This window comes from Homo sapiens, chromosome 8 (assembly GCF_000001405.40).
Source record: "Homo sapiens chromosome 8, GRCh38.p14 Primary Assembly".
In the NCBI taxonomy this organism is placed as follows: Eukaryota; Metazoa; Chordata; class Mammalia; order Primates; family Hominidae; genus Homo; species Homo sapiens.
In genome coordinates this window covers 70,668,922-70,686,865 of record NC_000008.11, presented here as the reverse complement: position 1 = coordinate 70,686,865, position 17,944 = coordinate 70,668,922, and the positions used below count along the sequence as shown (strand labels likewise).

The following is a 17,944-nucleotide window of genomic DNA, read 5'->3' as shown; positions in this document are numbered from 1 at the left end:
ATGTACTCCATAAATATATACACCTATTATGTACCCATAATAATTAAAACTGAAAAAAAATTTTAAAAGAGGCCAAAGAGGAAAAAACACCTAAAGGAGTAAAGGTAAAAATTACATTCACTTTCTCCTCAGAAACCATTCAAGCAAGAAGAGAATGGATTTGAGAGGCCGAAGGAGACGGATCACTTGAGCCTAAAAGTTCAAAACCAGCCTGGGCAACATGGTAAAACCCTGTCTCTATGAAAAATACAAAAATTAGCCAGGCATGGTGGCACATGCCTGTAGTCCCAGCTACTCAGGAGGCTAAGGAAGGAGAATTGCTTGAACCTGGGAGGCGGAGGTTGCAGTGAGCCAATATCGGGCCACTGCACTCCAGCCTGGGCAACAGAGCAAGAATCCATCTAAAAAGAAAAAAGAACTCTGTCTCTACCAAATATATATATATATATATATTAGCTATCTCGGTGTGGTGGCACACACCTGTAGTCCCAGCTACTTGTGGGGCTGAAGTGGGAGGATCACCTGAGCCCAGGGAGTTAGAGGTTGCAGTTACCTGTGACCGCACCACTGCAGCACTCCAGCCTGAGCAACACAGTGAGATTCTGTCTCAAAAAAAAAAAAAAAAGAATGGAGTGAAATATTTAAAGTGTTGAGAGTAAAAAAAGGAGAGGAAAGAAAGAAAACACCACTGTGAATTCTGTACCCTGTGAAATTATGCTTCAAAAGTGAAGGAGAATAAAGATTTCCACAAACACTGGGGAAACTTGTTGCCAGTAGACTTGCCTTGCAAGAAACGTTAAAATAGATTCTTCAAAGAAAAGGAAAATGTTACAGGTCAGAAACTTGGATCAATTAAAATATATAAAGAAAGGAAGAGCACTGAAAAAGGAATAATTGAAGATAAACAAAAACTTATTTTTCTTATTTTTAATTGATTTAATTTTATTTAAATTATTTAAATATAATTTTTTTTATTTTATTATTATACTTTAAGTTTTAGAGTACATGTGCACAATATGCAGGTTAGTTACATATGTATACATGTGCCATGCTGGTGTGCTGCACCCATTAACTCATCATTTAGCATTAGGTATATCTCCTAATGCTATCCCTCCCCCCTCCCCCCACCCCACAACAGTCCCCAGAGTGTGATGTTCCCCTTCCTGTGTCCATGTGTTCTCATTGTTCAATTCCCACCTATGAGTGAGAACATGCGGTGTTTGGTTTTTTGCCCTTGCAATAGTTTACTGAGAATGATGATTTCCAATTTCATCCATGTTCCTGCAAAGGACATGAACTCATCATTTTTTATGGCTGCATAGTATTCCATGGTGTATGTGTGCCACATTTTCTTTATTATTATTATTATTATTATACTTTAAGTTTTACGGTACATGTGTGCAATGTGCAGGTTAGTTACATATGTATACATGTGCCATGCTGGTGTGCTGCATGCATTAACTCGTCATTTAGCATTAGGTATATCTCCTAATGCTATCCCTCCCCCCTCCCCCCACCCCACAACAGTCCCCAGGGTGTGATGTTCCCCTTCCTGTGTCCATGTGTTCTCATTGTTCAATTCCCACCTACGAGTGAGAATATGCGGTGTTTGGTTTTTTGTTCTTGTGATAGTTTACTGAGAATGATGATTTCCAATTTCACCCATGTCCCTACAAAGGACATGAACTCTTCATTTTTTATGGCTGCGTAGTATTCCATGGTGTATATGTGCCACATTTTCTTAATCCAGTCTATTGTTGTTGGACATTTGGGTTGGTTCCAAGTCTTTGCTATTGTGAATAGTGCTGCAATCAACATACGTGTGCACGTGTCTTTATAGCAGCATGATTTATAGTCCTTTGGGTATATACCCAGTAATGGGATGGCTGGGTCAAATGGTATTTCTAGTTCTAGATCCCTGAGGAATCGCCACACTGACTTCCACAATGGTTGAACTAGTTTACAGTCCCAGCAACAGTGTAAAAGTGTTCCTATTTCTCCACATCCTCTCCAGCACCTGTTGTTTCCTGACTTTTTAATGATTGCCATTCTAACTGGTGTGAGATGGTATCTCATTGTGGTTTTGATTTGCATTTCTCTGATGGCCAGTGATGGTGAGCATTTTTTCATGTGTTTTTTGGCTGCATAAATGTCTTCTTTTGAGACGTGTCTGTTCATGTCCTTCGCCCACTTTTTGATGGGGTTGTTTGTTTTTTTCTTGTAAATTTGTTTGAGTTCATTGTAGATTCTGGATATTAGCCCTTTGTCAGATCAATTAAAATTAAGACAGACCAATTAAATATAATTATATTTAATTGATCTTAATTTTAATTGATCCAGATAACAGTTCAAAATAATAGGACAATATATTTGATTATGTATGCTTATGTGTATATATTTATATGCTTATGTATACTTAGTACAAGTGAAATGAATGATAGCAATGATACAAGGAATGAGAGGGAGGAATCTGGATTATAACATTCCACAGAATGTATCACAAAGAGTTCAAAAATAAGAATTTTTAAAATCTAACATTTAATAGTTATGTTAAACACAGTGAGAACGTGTAACTTACATTTGATTGGCATCCCAGAAGGGAAAGAAACACTAAATATAGTAAAGAAAATGTTAAAAAAGTTAATGGCTGACAATTATATAGAATTAATAGAAGATAATAATCCACAGAATCAAGAGGACCAACAAATCCTAAGCAAGAGAAATAAAATCTACATCTAAACATATAATTAAACTGTAGAAACCCACAGATAAAGAGAAAAATCTTAAGAGCAGCCAGAGGAGGAAAAGACAAAACACTTTCAAAAGAGCGGCAATGAGACTAAAATCTAACTCCTCCAGAGCAACAATAGAAACCAAAAAACAATCAAATATAATATGCAGAGAGAACATAACTACTCATCTAGAATTCTATAGCCACTAAAATATCTCTCAAGAAAGATAATGAAATAAAGACATTTTCAAACAACCAAAAATTGAGAGGTGATGTCACCAACAGCCCGTCAATAGATGAAATTCTAAAAGGCAGACCTCAGGAAGGCAGAAGTAAAGTAATTCTAGGGCCGAACATGGTGGCTCACACCTATAATCCCAACACTTTGGGAGGCCAAGGTGGGTGGATCACTTGAGGTCAGGAGTTCGAGACCAGCCTGGCCAACATGACTAAACCCCATTTCTACTAAAAATACAAAAATTAACCAAGTGTCATGGCACATGCCTGTAATCCCAGCTACTCAGGAAGCTGATGCAGGAGAATCTCTTGAACCAAGGAGGTGGAGGCTGCAATGAGCTGGGAAGGCGCCACTGCAGGCCAGCCTGGGTGACAGAGCAAGGCCCTGTCTCAAAAAAAAAAAAGAAAAGTAATTCTAGGTAGAAGTCCTGAGATTCAAGAAGAAATAAAAAATAAAGAGAGTATAAATATATGGGTAAACATAAACAAAATTCAGTAGAATTTAACTACATAAAGTAGAAAAATACATAATAATATCTAGTGGGATTAAAAACAGGCATTAAAATGACAACAATATAAATATATTAGTTGGGAGCATAGCAAATCGAATTATATTGTTTTGAGGTCTTTAAATTATCAATGTTAACAGCAAAGGTTTTGTTTTACTTTATACTTGGAACAATTTAAGACCGCACGTTACACACTATACTTCTAGGTAGGATCCAGCATATTGGAATAGACCAATGCTCCCGGCAAAGCAATTAAGAGAAACTACAAACTGGGCTGATATATTTACAAATGTTTGTTGCTTGGAAATATTTGCTGATTCTATTACTCAGAACAAGAGGTTGAAAACCTGGATTCTGCCCAAGCAAAGGGCTGTTGTTAGGCAAGAAGAGAGGCCTAGTTCAATAGATTATAGTACATCCATACTAAAGGATACACCATGCAGCCTTTAAAAAGAGCAAAGCAGCTTTGTATGAACTCACTTCAGAAGATCTTCAAGATGTTTAAGCTAGGTTTTAGAGGTCTGTTGACTGAGGGACCTCAACTCAATCAATTTTTCCAACAACGTATGTGCCAAATTTTGAAACTACACCATAGAGGCTAAAAGCTAAGCAGAAAGTCTTGAAAAAGCAAAACAGGCTTTCTGGTAGTCTTGTGGTGCCAAGATAAAAATTAGTGTTCAGGACTTGTGGAGGTGAGATGACCACACCATACTCTCAAGTTCCCTAGAAACTACAAACCAAAGCAGATTGAACCTTAGTCTAAATGCCTACTAGAGAAAAAGCAAAACAGTAGCATTTGAAACTTCTATCATCTTTTGTATACAATGTGTAATATTCAATCAAAAATTACTAGGTGTATCAAGAGACACTGAAAATCAAGGCAATTTGGCCTTTCTTTTATAATACAATTTATAATTTATAACACAATGTACCTTAAGGTCCTCATTTCAATGCTGATGAAAATAGTTCTGTAGATGTGCAAATTTTCCATTATTAGAATGGCAAGTAACAGAGAATTTACCATATTTCTAAATTCCTTGCAAAAGCAACTTTTATCTTTCTTCAATATTACAACTACATAATTCTCAATATTGCTCATACAGAGTACTCATTTAATCTTACCTATTACATATGTATTTGTTCATCAGCACTTTTACTGTATTTCTTTAAACATTTTTGTCTTATTGAGAATGTGCAGTTTGAAAATTGACTTCTAATACCAACAACTAAAGCACTTTTTTTCCAGCTTTTCCTAAAACCTATAAACTTCTTTCTCACTGCACATTCTGTTTCTTTTACATATTAAAAACATAATAACTATAGCTTCAAAAAGGCAAAATATGTGAAAATACTTTGAAAACTATAAGTCTCCACATAAATACAATGGCGTTATTCCCATTAATTAATATAAGAAAAGCCTGGAATTTTTTTAATACATTCAACTAAGGATCATGAATTGCTTTTTAACAGGACAGAATCAAAAGTAGAATCACTTAAAGTAATAATGGAGAGGTCATAAAAAATTAAATATACAGAGAATCATGGAATTCTGAGGGCCTATTTAGAGTCTCGTTTCTCTACCTATAACAACATGATTCTTAAGGTTGCTTTAGTTCTATGACTCTGTACCTAGCTAACCACATAGCTACTGCATTATTGCAGCAAAAATTTCATTTAGTTAAATCAATGATAAGTATCAAAAAAGTGAGTACTCTCTCAGTTACAAGTGAAATGCCATATTTACACAATCAGACTTAGAATATACACAGAAGATAAAAGTTCTGTAAGACATAGAAATGTCTTTTTCCTTCTCATGAAAACTGAGTTCATATCAGAAAAAACCTAATTAGATAAATTTAAACATTTTTATTAATGAACCTGGAAAATTCTGACAGTATGGCAATGACTTATATTAGCACAATAGTGAGGAGCAAGTAACCTTTGTGCTTCATGCAAATAAGGGATCTTTGTACATTTGACTACCCAGATAAGATACAAAATGGTAGCTTCTGTTTGGAAAAAGAAAAACAGTGGTAATGATTAAACATGTATGCTCACCTTGTAAAAACTCCTCCTTGCAAGCAATGAAGTAGAAGAAAACAATGCTGACTTTCTTGGCCTGCTTTCTTTAAATCAGCCTTGAACCAAGAATAACTAAAACACTGAGCCACAAGTGTTCCAAAAAGCATAAAGCTTAACGCTAAAGCACTAAAAACATACTGTCCTTCATGGAAAAATCTGACAGATACCCATATGTCCACAATTAAATCAGTTACGTAGATTATAATGCCAAGAACTGACATCATAAAATTCTGTTTAGTATATTTCATTACGAATGACTATAGCTTTTCGTTATCTACTTTTTTCTCCCTCACAAAAAGGGAAAAAAAGCCAAACAAATATTAGTATACCCTTTGGTATAGCATTGAATTTTAATTTCTACTCCCTAAATCTATTTAGAAGAAAGAATAAATATTATGAAATGGGAACACTAACACTAAAGTGACTAATTTTGACTTTCTTTTCTAAATCTCTAATCTAGGTCCAATGTTACAAGGCTTTAATCAATCTTCTGTTTCACAATGATCTTCATTACAGATGACAAGACCTAAAATAAAACAGATATTTAAGTTCCAAAATATCTTAAGTATAATATTAAAAACGCTTGGCAATGATTTTATCAAAGCTCTACTTTTCCTAAAAATAATATATTGCCACTAAATACAGTTCTTATAATAGCTTTGGGAAAGTCTCAGAAATATACTTGATAGTTGATAACTTCCTCTCAGGCTATTTATCTTTTAAAAATATGACCTACCCACAAAGAAATTTATCACACGACTATTTATAGTGGCAAACTGGAAACAACCTAAATATTTCAACATAAGGAAATGGTAAAGTAAATAAAGGTAGATCCATAAAATGGAATATTACAAAACTACTAAAATATATGTAACAAAGGTGCAATAGTTGTAAAAATTCTTAATATGCTTTTGGCCCAGCAATTCCATCTAGGATTCTATCCTAGGGAAATATTCAAAAATGTACAAAAAGATAATCTTTGCAGAGCCTTTTTTATAAGAGCGAAATATTGAAAACTACCTAAATGACAATTGAGAGGCCTAGTTCAATAGATTATGGTACATCCACACTAAAGGATACACCATGCAGCCTTTAAAAAGATTAAAGCAGCTTTGTATGAACTCACTTCAGAAGATCTTCAAGATGTTTTAAGTGAAAAAAGCAAATCCCAGAAAGATAAATACTGTATACTATTTATGGTTTTTAATTATACATGGAGAGAGGAAGGCGGTTGAGAGTAGGAAGCAAATGCAACTTCAGTTGTTTTCTCTCTATACTGCTACATTTTTTTGAGGTTTTTTTTTTACAACAGACCTGTACTGATGTTGTTAGGTATATAATTTTTTAAAATAAAAATAGTAAATGATACTCATGCAGAATCTCAATGACTGGAGAAAATGTTTATGCTACTAATGAAAGCTAACATTTACTTACCACTATGTGCCAAGCACTGAGCAAAATGTTGTATATAAAACGCCCCAATTTAATTCTTCTATCACTTAAAATGTAGATTCTACTATTATTATTACTATTTTATAAACATAGTCTGAATGAACACAATCTGCATACAAGATTTGTCTGACTCAGTGGTGGTTTTTTGGTTTGTTTTCCTAATTAATTGCCAACATTTCACAAAAAACACAAATGTTTGACTGCTAACAAAAAACAGAAACATCTTCTATGCTAGATTAGTCCTTCATGAGCAGTGGCTGCCCCTTTAGATGGGGCATGCTCTCTCCTGTTCATCGCAGTAGTCATCTGGCCCATTTCAGGCATTTCAACAGCTGGGTCTCAATGTTAATGCAGCTACCTACTAGCTGTGTGTCCCTAGATGTATTCTTTTCAGCCTTATACTTTATTTTCTTCATCTAAAATGTGGAGAGAATAATGGTATATACCTTATAGGGTTGTTGTGAAGGTCAAGAAAGATAATACATGTAATACATATAAACCCCTAGAAAAGTACTTGGCACACAGTTAGGGCCCAGTAAATGTTAGTTATCATTATTACCTTGCTAACTGCTTGCCTGGCCTCTGTAAGCATATGAGTTTGCAATGTCTGACTTGACTTCATATAATGTTAAGTGAAAAAGTACTGTGGTATGATCTTAAAGGTAAGGAGGGATAAATGAGCTCTGGAGCCCTGATGCAATAGGACTGGAGTTCTTACAAGAAGAGGAAGCAACACCAGAGAAAAGGCCATGTGAGGACACAAGAAGGCAGCCATCTGTAACCCAAGGAGAGAGAACCTCACCAGAAACCAACCCTGCTGGCACAATGATCTTGGACTTCCAGTGTCCAGAACTGTCAAAAAATAAATTTCTATTGTTTAAGCTAATAAGTCTGTGGTATTCTGCTATGGCAGCCAGACCAGTTAACACACTATGTTTCTATAAAAAAATTTATTACTTTAAACACACCAAGGTGAATGTTTACTAAAAACACACACACAAACCAATACTTACTGTGTTCTTATCATTTTATCACTTATAAGTATTTTGCTAAAAAGTCTTCAGAATAATATTAAAAGGTATTTCATTCTTCTCACGGAATAAAGCAACAGTTATGATCACTGCTTCTCCTGTCAAGAATGTTGTGGCCAACAGGACAGAAAAAAACAGTTTAAAAACTGAGTTTTAAAAATCTAGTGGGCCATGAATTTCCCTGCAGCAGGTTTCTTATGCTAACATGAAAGACCTCAAGCCAACATACACATGGGGTTTAGGAGGATGAGATTAATCGGGAGGTTCTGCTCAATTGAACTAATTAAATATTTACTTAGAAACTACCATGTGCTGTTTTAGGCTTTCCTGGATATATCAAGTGATGAGAGACAAATATTCCTGCCCCTGTGGAACTTATATCCTAGCACAGAAAGATAATCAAGGGGTATCTCAACTACAATGATTTGATCTTTATAAATTATATGAATGTATTAAATTATCACATGCACCTCAAAAATATGTACATCTATTATGTATCATTCTTAAACATAAAATTCAAAATATAGTCAATTAACAATAAAAAATAATTAATAAATCAAATATATTAGAAGGTGGTAAGTGCTATGGAAAAAATAAAGCATAGTAAGGAAGATCAGCAATTACAGTAGAGATGGGCATATCATGGGCTGTGACATTAATTAGATTGGTCAGGGCAGGACTCACTGAGAAGGTGGCATTTGAGTAGTGAAATTGGCCATGTGCATAGAGATGGAAAAGCCTTCCAGCTTGAAGGAACAGCTAGTTCAAAAGTCTAATGCACTAGATTTTGAATCCTTCAAAAACAAAAGTTTCAAAAAATATTGTCAGAAATTCCTTAGCATGGTTCTACTGGATATGTTTAATGTGTATACAAATCCTGTTCTAATATCATTCTTAAAAATATAATTTCTTAAGCTTTACTAAGAAAAAAATTGCTTATATAGGAGAAGAATAGATGGTAGTAATAGTAGCTACTACTGCTAGGTGTTTACTAAAAGTGAAGTTTTTTGGCATAAATTATTTCATTTAATCCTCACAAATCCCTGTGAAAACAGTATTATTGACTCCATTTTGTAGACCAGAAAACTGAGGCATAGAGGTGTTGGATATTTAGGTGAGTTTTCTCTAATGAGTAAAATCTGTTTGCCTCCAATGCTTAGGTCCTACCCACAATATACTTACACAGTATCTGAAGAGAAAACAGAAAACATTTATAGCTGTGTGAGTATAACACTTAGGCACAGCAGTCTATAGATTTGAGATAGAATACACATTATTATTGTATATTATTCTTTTCTGTAGTGAAATTAAAGGGAGAGGGGAATATAGTTAGAATTGCAAATGATGTGATCTAAACCTTTCTAAACAAAAATCTTGGCCAGGTGCAGTAGCTCACGCCTGTAATCTCAGCACTTTGGGAGGCTGAGCCAGGCAGATCACTTGAGTCCAGGAGTTCAAGACCAGCCTGGGCAACATGGTGAAACCCCACCTCTACAAAAAAAATACAAAAATTAGCCAGGCATGGTAGTGTGCTCCTGTAGTGTCAGCTACTTGGGAGGCTGAGGTGGGAGGATCATTTAAGCCCAGGAAGTGGGGGTTGCAGTGAACTGATATGGCATCGCTGCACTCCAGACTGGGCAACAAAGTGAGACCCTGTCACAAAACAAAACAAAAAAAGATTTTTTTTATTTTTTTTTAATCTTTAACTTATTTTCCACTGCTTTTTCTCAGGAAAACTTTATAGTCTGAGAACATGTTCAAAAGAATAAAACTTGACTAAAACACAATAGTTAAGCTAAAATTTTGCTTTAAATGATTTTAAATGTAGATAATTTCCTTAAAATTACAGACTATAATACTTCAGTATTCCATATGTGCATTTCTTAATCTCTCTACCCATAAAGAGAGCTTCCTTTACCTGGCAAGAGTAATAAAAATAGTAGTAGCAGGTTTGGGTTGTTTGTTTGTTTGTTTGTTTAAGAGACAGGGTCTCTCTATATTACCCAGGCTGGTCTTGAATTCCTGTGCTCAAGTGATCCTCCCACCTTAGCCTCCTGAGTAGCTGGGACTATCAGCACAGGTACCATACCTGGCCAACACTAGCAGTTTTGAGTCAACTTTTACAAGATGGAAAGAATAATTTCCAAGAAACAGAAACTGTTACTGGCAGAACATTAGATGCAATAGATTAATCTAATATGGTAATATCCATATTCCTAATTTAGTCAGGCAGAACATAACACCAAGTAGAAGGAAACCTACATAGCAAGCTAATACATACGGCGGATCTGATAAAGAGAGCTGCAGGTCTTTCAATTGTTGAATAACTTGTATTAAGAATAGTTCATCTCTATCTCTATGGTTGATCACTATTCCAGTACCACCTTAGGTAAAATAATGCCACCTACAAAGTTTGGCTTCATAGGGGACTTCTTACACTTACTGACTTAATAGGACAATGATATAATCTGAATATATGTCCCTACCAAATCTCATGTTGAATTGTAATCCCCCATGTTGGAGGTGGGGCCTGGTTGGAGGTTTTGGGTCATAGGGGTGTATCTCTCATGGTTTGGTGCTGTCCTCACGATAGTGAGTGAGATCTGGTTGTTGTAAAGCATTGCATCTCCCCCACTACTCTCTTTTTTGCTCCTGCTCTCTCCACGTGAGACACGTGCTTCCTCTTCACCTTCTGCCATGATTGTAAGCTTCCTGAGGCCTCCCCAAAAGCAGATTCTGGCACTTTGCTTCCTGTACAGCCTGAAGAACCATGAGCCTATTAAACTTATTTTCTTATAAATTACCCAGTCTCAGGTATTTCTTTATAGCAATGCAAGAATGGCCTAACACAGAAAATTGGCACCAGTAGTAAAGTTTTGCTATAAAGATACCTGAAAACATGAAAACAGTGTTAGAACTGAGTAACAGGCAGAGGCTAGAAGAGTTTGTAAGACTCAGAGAAGAAGGGAAGATGAGGGAAAGTTTGGAGCTTCTTAAAGGTTGTGACCCAAATGCCGATAATGATATGGACAATGAAGTCCAGGCTGCTGATGTCTCAGATGGAAATGAGTAACTTATTCAGAAGTGGAGCAAAGATCACCCATGTTATGCCTCAGCAAAAAGCTTGGCTGGATTGTATTTGTGCCCTAGAGATCTATGGAAGTTTGAACTTCAGAGTGATGATTTAGGGTACCTGGCAGAAGAAATTTCTAAGTAGCAAAGCATTCAAGACATGGACCAGCTGCTTCTAACAACCTATGCCCAGATGTGGAAGCAAGAAAATGACTGAAAATTTGAATTTATATTTAAACAGGAAGCAGAGCATAAAAGTTTGAAAAATGTGCAGCCTGGCCAGGTGAGAGAGAAAGAAAAAGCTTCTTCAGAAGAGGACTTTAAGCAGGCTGTACAGCAACCACTTGCTAAAGATATTTGCAAAACTAAAAGGGAGCCAAGTGCTAATATCAAAGACAGTGGGTTCGAGTGATTCTTCTGCCTCAGCCTCTCCAAGTAGCTGGGACTACAGGTGCACACCACCAAACCCAGCTAATTTTTGTATTTTTAGTAGAGACGGGGTTTCGCCATATTGGGCAGGCTGATTTCGAATCCTGACCTCAAGTGACCCACCCACCTCAGCCTCCCAAAGTGCTGGGATTACAAGAATGGGCAACTGCACCTGGCCCTCGTTTCTTATAAATTACCTAGTCTCAAGTATTTCTTTACAGCAATGCAAGAATGGCTTAACACAAACGGTTTCAATCCAATTCCAAATATCAACCTAGCTATGTGGCTACCTGGCTGCGAGCCGAAATACGTAACTTTTGCCCACTGTACAACTATCTGAGATAAAGCAGATATTTAAAGAAATTAAAACTAGGAAACTTTCCCTTGTCAACCAAATATAACACATATAAAACATAGACTTACTTGTCAAATATAAAAAGCCATCTTTGACTCAAAGTCCCTTCTGGAAAAATCTTCATCTTGTGAATATTTTACTTCTTCTTCACTAAAAACAAGTATAATTAAAGGATGTGTAAACCTTTAAGATCGAATACTAAAATGAAACTGAAATCACCTGTTAGTCATATGTGGCATTTTCTAATCTAGTGATAAGAGTCTGTGTCATTGTGAATACAGTACACCCTTTTATAACTATCTCATTGAGAGGAAGAAATAGCATAGGTCCTTTCATAGGCTGACTAGGCTCCAAGCTTTCACTGTATTTGTCAAATAAGTCAAGAAAATACAATTTGTCTCACAACATATCCAAATGGATAACATGTCATGTTTGAAAAGGAGGTTCTTAAATTTGAAGTACTCTAACAAAGTATCATAAACTCAGCCCTACCTACTTTTCAACCTTATACCTTCTCAAATCTTGTGCCCCAAAGAGCATATGATTGTTGGTCTGTATTCCCAAAATAAGCACTACTTTTCTTCCATTTCCAAGCCTTTGCTCAAGGTTATTTACTGCTGTCTAGAATAACTGCCATCTATCTGATGAAATTCTGTCAATCCTTTAAGAATCAGCTCAAAACCCACCATCTTTAGGCTTTCCCAGATCATCCCAGTATGTTTCTCCCCTTTCTCCTTGCAATCTCATCACTTCAGCTGTACTTCTCTTCTAGTATTTACCCACATATGCTTTTTTTTAAGAGACAAGGTCTTGCTCCATCACTCAGGCTGGAGTGCAGTGGCACAATCATAGCTCACTATAACCTCGAACTCCTGGGCTCAAGCACTCCTCCAGACTCAGCCTCCCAACAGTGCTAGGATTACAGGCTCATGCCACCATACCTGAACCCATATATACTTTAAAAGTATCTCCTTCATGGTTATGACCCTCTAGAAAGCAAAGATTATCTTATTCATTTTTAACATGCCCTCAATATGTCTACAACATTACCTTGCATGTTGTAAGTAGATAATAAACTATTGTAAGTGTAACTGAACAGAACGTGAAAAATATTTGATCTGATTTCTTGGAGAGGAACTTAAACTTCAAGTCACATTTCTAAACATATTCACAAAGACTTAATTTTGTATCTTTTTTTTTTTTGACATGGAGTCTCACTCTGTCACTCAGGCTGGAGTGCAGTGCCGCGATCTCAGCTCACTGCAACCTCCGCCTCCTGGGTTCAAGTGATTCTCCTGCCTCGGCCTCCCAAGTAGCTGGGATTACAGGCACCCGCCACCATGCCCACCTAATTTTTGTATTTTTAGTAGAGACAGGGTTTCACCATGTTGGTCAGGCTAGTCTCCCAAAGTGCTGGGATTACAGGCGTGAGCCACCACACCCGACCAAAAAATATATCTAACTGTCCATAGGTTTCTTTACCTGGATATACCACAATTACCTCAATTTTATCTCATCTAAAACATAGTCACTATCTACCTTCTATTTGTACTCTTTTTCTAGTATCTCCTTGTATGGCCCTATGCAAGTTGCCTTACTTTTAAATCATTTGGCCTATTCCTTCATCTGCCAAATGAGGAGCTTGGCAATTGATTAAATGGAATCCAGAAGGAAAGTGCAAGTGAAAGTTTAATTTTTAAAAAAAGCTAATGAAGCTGGACCTTGTCTCTCATCATATGCAAAAGCCAACTCAAGAAGGATTAAACGTAAGACCTTAAACTATAAAACTACTAGAAGAAAATATTGGTAAAATACATAAGGACATTGGTTTAGGCAAAGATTTTGTAGCTAAGACCTCAAAAGCACATACGACTAAAATAAAAACAGACAAATTTGACTATATTAAATGAAAAAGTTTCTGCACAGCAAAGGAAACAATCAACAGGGTGCAGAGACATCTGCTGAACAGAAGAAAATATTTGCAAACTATTCATCTGACAAGGGACTAATATCCAGAACATACAAGGAACTCAAACTCAACAAGAGAAAACACAAATAATCCCACCAAAAAGAGGGTACAGAACATGAATAGACGATTCTCAAAAGAAGACATACAAATGGCCAACAAACATATGAAAAAATGCTCAACATCACTAATCATCAGGCAAATGCAAATCAAAACCATAATGAGATATCATCTTACCCCAGTTAGAATAGCTGTTATTAAAAAGACAATAACAGATGCTGCAGAGGATGTAGAGAAAAAGGAACTCTCATACACAGTTGGTGGGAATGTAAATTAGTACAACCGCTATGGAAAACAGTACAGAGATGTATAAAATACACACACACACACACACAGAACTACCATATGATTTAGCAATCCCACTACTATTTGTATATCAAAGGGACAACTGCACCTGCATGTTTATCACAACATTATTCACAATAGGAAAGATATGAAATCAACCTAAAAGTCCATCAACAAACAAATGGATAAAGAAAATGTGATATATACACACAATAAAATACTATTTGGCCATAAAAAAATGAGATCATATTTCTGAGGGCTCTGTTCTGTTCCATTGATCTATATCTCTGTTTTGGTACCAGTACCATGCTGTTTTGGTTACTGTAGCCTTGTAGTATAGTTTGAAGTCAGGTAGTGTGATGCCTCCAGCTTTGTTCTTTTGGCTTAGGATTGACTTGGCAATGCGGGCTCTTTTTTGGTTCCATATGAACTTTAAAGTAGTTTTTTCCAATTCTGTGAAGAAAGTCATTGGTAGCTTGATGGGGATGGCATTGAATCTGTAAATTACCTTGGGCAGTATGGCCATTTTCACGATATTGATTCTTCCTACCCATGAGCATGGAATGTTCTTCCATTTGTTTGTCTCCTCTTTTATTTCCTTGAGCAGTGGTTTGTAGTTCTCCTTGAAGAGGTCCTTCACATCCCTTGTAAGTTGGATTCCTAGGTATTTTATTCTCTTTGAAGCAATTGTGAATGGGAGTTCACCCATGATTTGGCTCTCTGTTTGTCTGTTGTTGGTGTATAAGAATGCTTGTGATTTTTGTACATTGATTTTGTATCCTGAGACTTTGCTGAAGTTGCTTATCAGCTTAAGGAGATTTTGGGCTGAGACGATGGGGTTTTCTAGATAAACAATCACACGTATGTTTATTGCGGCACTATTCACAATAGCAAAGACTTGGAACCAACCCAAATGTCCAACAATGATAGATTGGATTAAGAAAATGTGGCACATATACACCATGGAATACTATGCAGCCATAAAAAATGATGAGTTCATATCCTTTGTAGGGACATGGATGAAATTGGAAACCATCATTCTCAGTAAACTATCGCAAGAACAAAAAACCAAACACCGCATATTCTCACTCATAGGTGGGAATTGAACAATGAGATCACATGGACACAGGAAGGGGAATATCACACTCTGGGGACTGTGGTGGGGTCGGGGAAGGGGGGAGGGATAGCATTGGGAGATATACCTAATGCTAGATGACACATTAGTGGGTGCAGCGCACCAGCATGGCACATGTATACATATGTAACTAACCTGCACAATGTGCACATGTACCCTAAAACTTAGAGTATAATAAAAAAAAAAAAAAAATGAGATCATGTCATTTTCAGCAACATGGATGGAACTAGAGATTATGATAAGTGAAATAATCCATGCATAGAAAGACAAATATCACATATTCTCATTCATACGTGGGAGCTAAAAAGTTTATCTCAGCCAGGCATGGTGGCTCAAGCCTGCAATCCTAGCACTTTGGGAGACCAAAGCAGGAGGATCACCTGAATCGCTTGAGTTCAAGAGTTCAAGGTTACAGTGAGCTATGATAGTGCCACTGCACTGCAGCCCGGGTGAAAGCCAGACCCTGTAAGTAAATAAGTAAGTTAAGTAAGGAAATTAATTAAGCCAAAGAATAAAAGAAGGGGAGTGCCCAGATTCTCAGGAATCTGGTCCAGAAATTACTGTTCCATCCTCTTCTCCAGGGTTCACTGACTTTCCAGCAGAGTTCTTAAAAAGGGAAGATGTGCAAAGCCTCCTGCCTGAATAGCCATTAATTGATGGCTATCATAAATACATATTGACAGATTGAAATGCCTGATGTAGGAGATTTGGTTACTTTAAGTATTTTTTGAAGGGTATACTGTTTAACTTCCCATTGCAACAGGGGATAACTTATATGATTATTTCAGCGATGATTTTTTGAATATTTTTCCATTAAAAGTACAACTGTGTGAAACAAGGCAAAGACATTTCTCACACACAAAGCAGATGTCATTAGCCACTCTGATACACTATGCTGCTGATTCATAAAATAGGTAAGAGCAGATCGTTTTCTTCATCAGAAATATCTGGAAAAAAAAAAGCCACCAAGCACTGTATGTGTCAATTTCTCACCTTTTTTTAAAAAAAAAAAGAGTGGGCTGCTACAGTGGATATGTTCTACATCTCTTTGGGGCAGTGATTACATACAATTGTCATAACTCGATGGAACTGTCTACAGGATCTGTGTATTTTCTTTTAAGTAATTTATAACTCAACTTTTTTTATGGGAAGCTGTAGTTAACACTGGATAGTTAATACTTGGCTGATAAGAAACCGACTTGTTACAGAGAAAATGAGTCCCTTCCATCTTGGGCACAAAACGGCTCCACAAGACCAGCCTAGCTCTCTGGGCAGGCAGGTAACACTGGCAGGCAGAGGCATGCTCCTTGAATCTCACTGAGGGGGACAAGTGTTAGTGCGAGGCAGGTAGGAGCAAGGCCGCACACGCAGACTCTGTCATCTGGGCAGCTGCCCAATCCCCGTTTTTCATTTGTAACAAAAATAGTGTCCACCTCTTAATAATGTTCTGAGGATTAAGGGCGTTAAGTCGGATGTTTGTTGAAAGCACTTAGGCATAGTAGGAAGTACTAAGTAAATATGTCTTACCACTATTTATTATAAAAGATGAACAGGCTGGCCCGGCGTGGTAGCTCACGCCTGTAATCCCAGCACTTTGGGAGGCCGAGGCGGGCGGATCACGAGGTCAGGAGATCAAGACCTTCCTGGCTAACACAATGAAACCCGGTCTCTACTAAAAATACAAAAAATTAGCCGGGCGTGGTGGCGGACGCCTATAGTCCCAGCTACTCGGGAGGCCGAGGCAGGAGGATGGCGTGAACCCGGGAGGCGGGGCTTGCAGTGAGCCGAGATCGCGCCACTGCACTCCAGCCTGGGCGACAGACCGAGACTTCGTCTCAAAAAAAAAAAAAAAAAAAATGAACAGGCTACTACTACTACTACTACACACACACACACACACACACACACACACACAGAGCCACTGCCTAAAAATCTGGCAATCCTTCCTGACATTTATTACTGAATAACGAACGGTTACCAAACCTGTCTCCCAAATCACAAGACTCTTCCAGATTAAAATGTCTCTCGCCCACTTGGATCCACTCGCCTGTCTAGGACACAAACCCGTGAGGCACCAGCCCCCGTGACAGAGGCAGATTCCAGCTTCGCCTCACGCCACCTCACGCCTCGCGCCAGCCTTCCCACCACTGCCCGCGCAGCCCGCGCGGCGTCACGTGACCTCTAGTTCCGCACCGCCCCCCCCACCCCCCGGCCTAGCTGCCGGATCCCCGCCCCGGCTCGTCCGCGGTGTCACATGACACCTGGACCAGCCGCTGGCCAATCCCCTCCCTCCCGGGTTGCGAGGCATCACGTGGACGCTACTCGCTATCCCCGGCCTGTTGGCTTCTTCCGCGCTGGAGTATCCAGATAGGCGACACGCCGGCGGGCGGCTGAGGCGGGAATGGCTGCTGTACTGCAGCGCGTCGAGCGGCTGTCCAATCGAGTCGTGCGTGTGTTGGGCTGTAACCCGGGTCCCATGACCCTCCAAGGCACCAACACCTACCTAGTGGGGACCGGCCCCAGGTAAACGTCCCTCTCCAACCTCCCCAACGTTCGCAGCCGGCCCCGGAGCCCGGGCTTTGACTGATCGCGGCTGCGCG

General features: G+C 38.0%; 2 protein-coding genes across 11 annotated transcripts in view; one reads left to right on the top strand and one right to left on the bottom strand.

The window, feature by feature from the left end:
• The window catches only part of XKR9 (XK related 9), a 396,467-nt gene extending 378,940 nt beyond the window's left edge, over positions 1-17,527 (bottom strand). For 4 of the 10 annotated variants that reach the window (XM_011517527.4, NM_001011720.2, XM_017013405.3 and 1 more), the window contains exons 1-3: positions 17,328-17,527; positions 11,967-12,048; positions 5,536-6,085 (exon numbers count right to left, since the gene is read on the bottom strand). In XM_011517527.4, the coding sequence (XP_011515829.1) occupies positions 5,536-5,807 (272 nt within the window). In that variant the 5' untranslated portion in view covers positions 5,808-6,085; positions 11,967-12,048; positions 17,328-17,527. Of the gene's footprint in view, positions 1-3,235; positions 3,354-5,535; positions 6,086-8,024; positions 8,499-8,726; positions 8,837-11,966; positions 12,049-16,871 lie in introns of those variants that run through there. The other 6 variants (NM_001287259.2, NM_001287258.2, XM_011517525.3 and 3 more) reach the window with 6 other exon arrangements.
• A 153-nt stretch (positions 17,528-17,680) lies between these two features.
• The window catches only part of LACTB2 (lactamase beta 2), a 31,920-nt gene continuing 31,656 nt past the window's right edge, over positions 17,681-17,944 (top strand). The window contains exon 1 of the mRNA NM_016027.3: positions 17,681-17,867. Coding sequence (NP_057111.1) covers positions 17,746-17,867 — 122 coding nt within the window. The 5' untranslated portion in view covers positions 17,681-17,745. The remainder of the gene's footprint in view (positions 17,868-17,944) is intronic.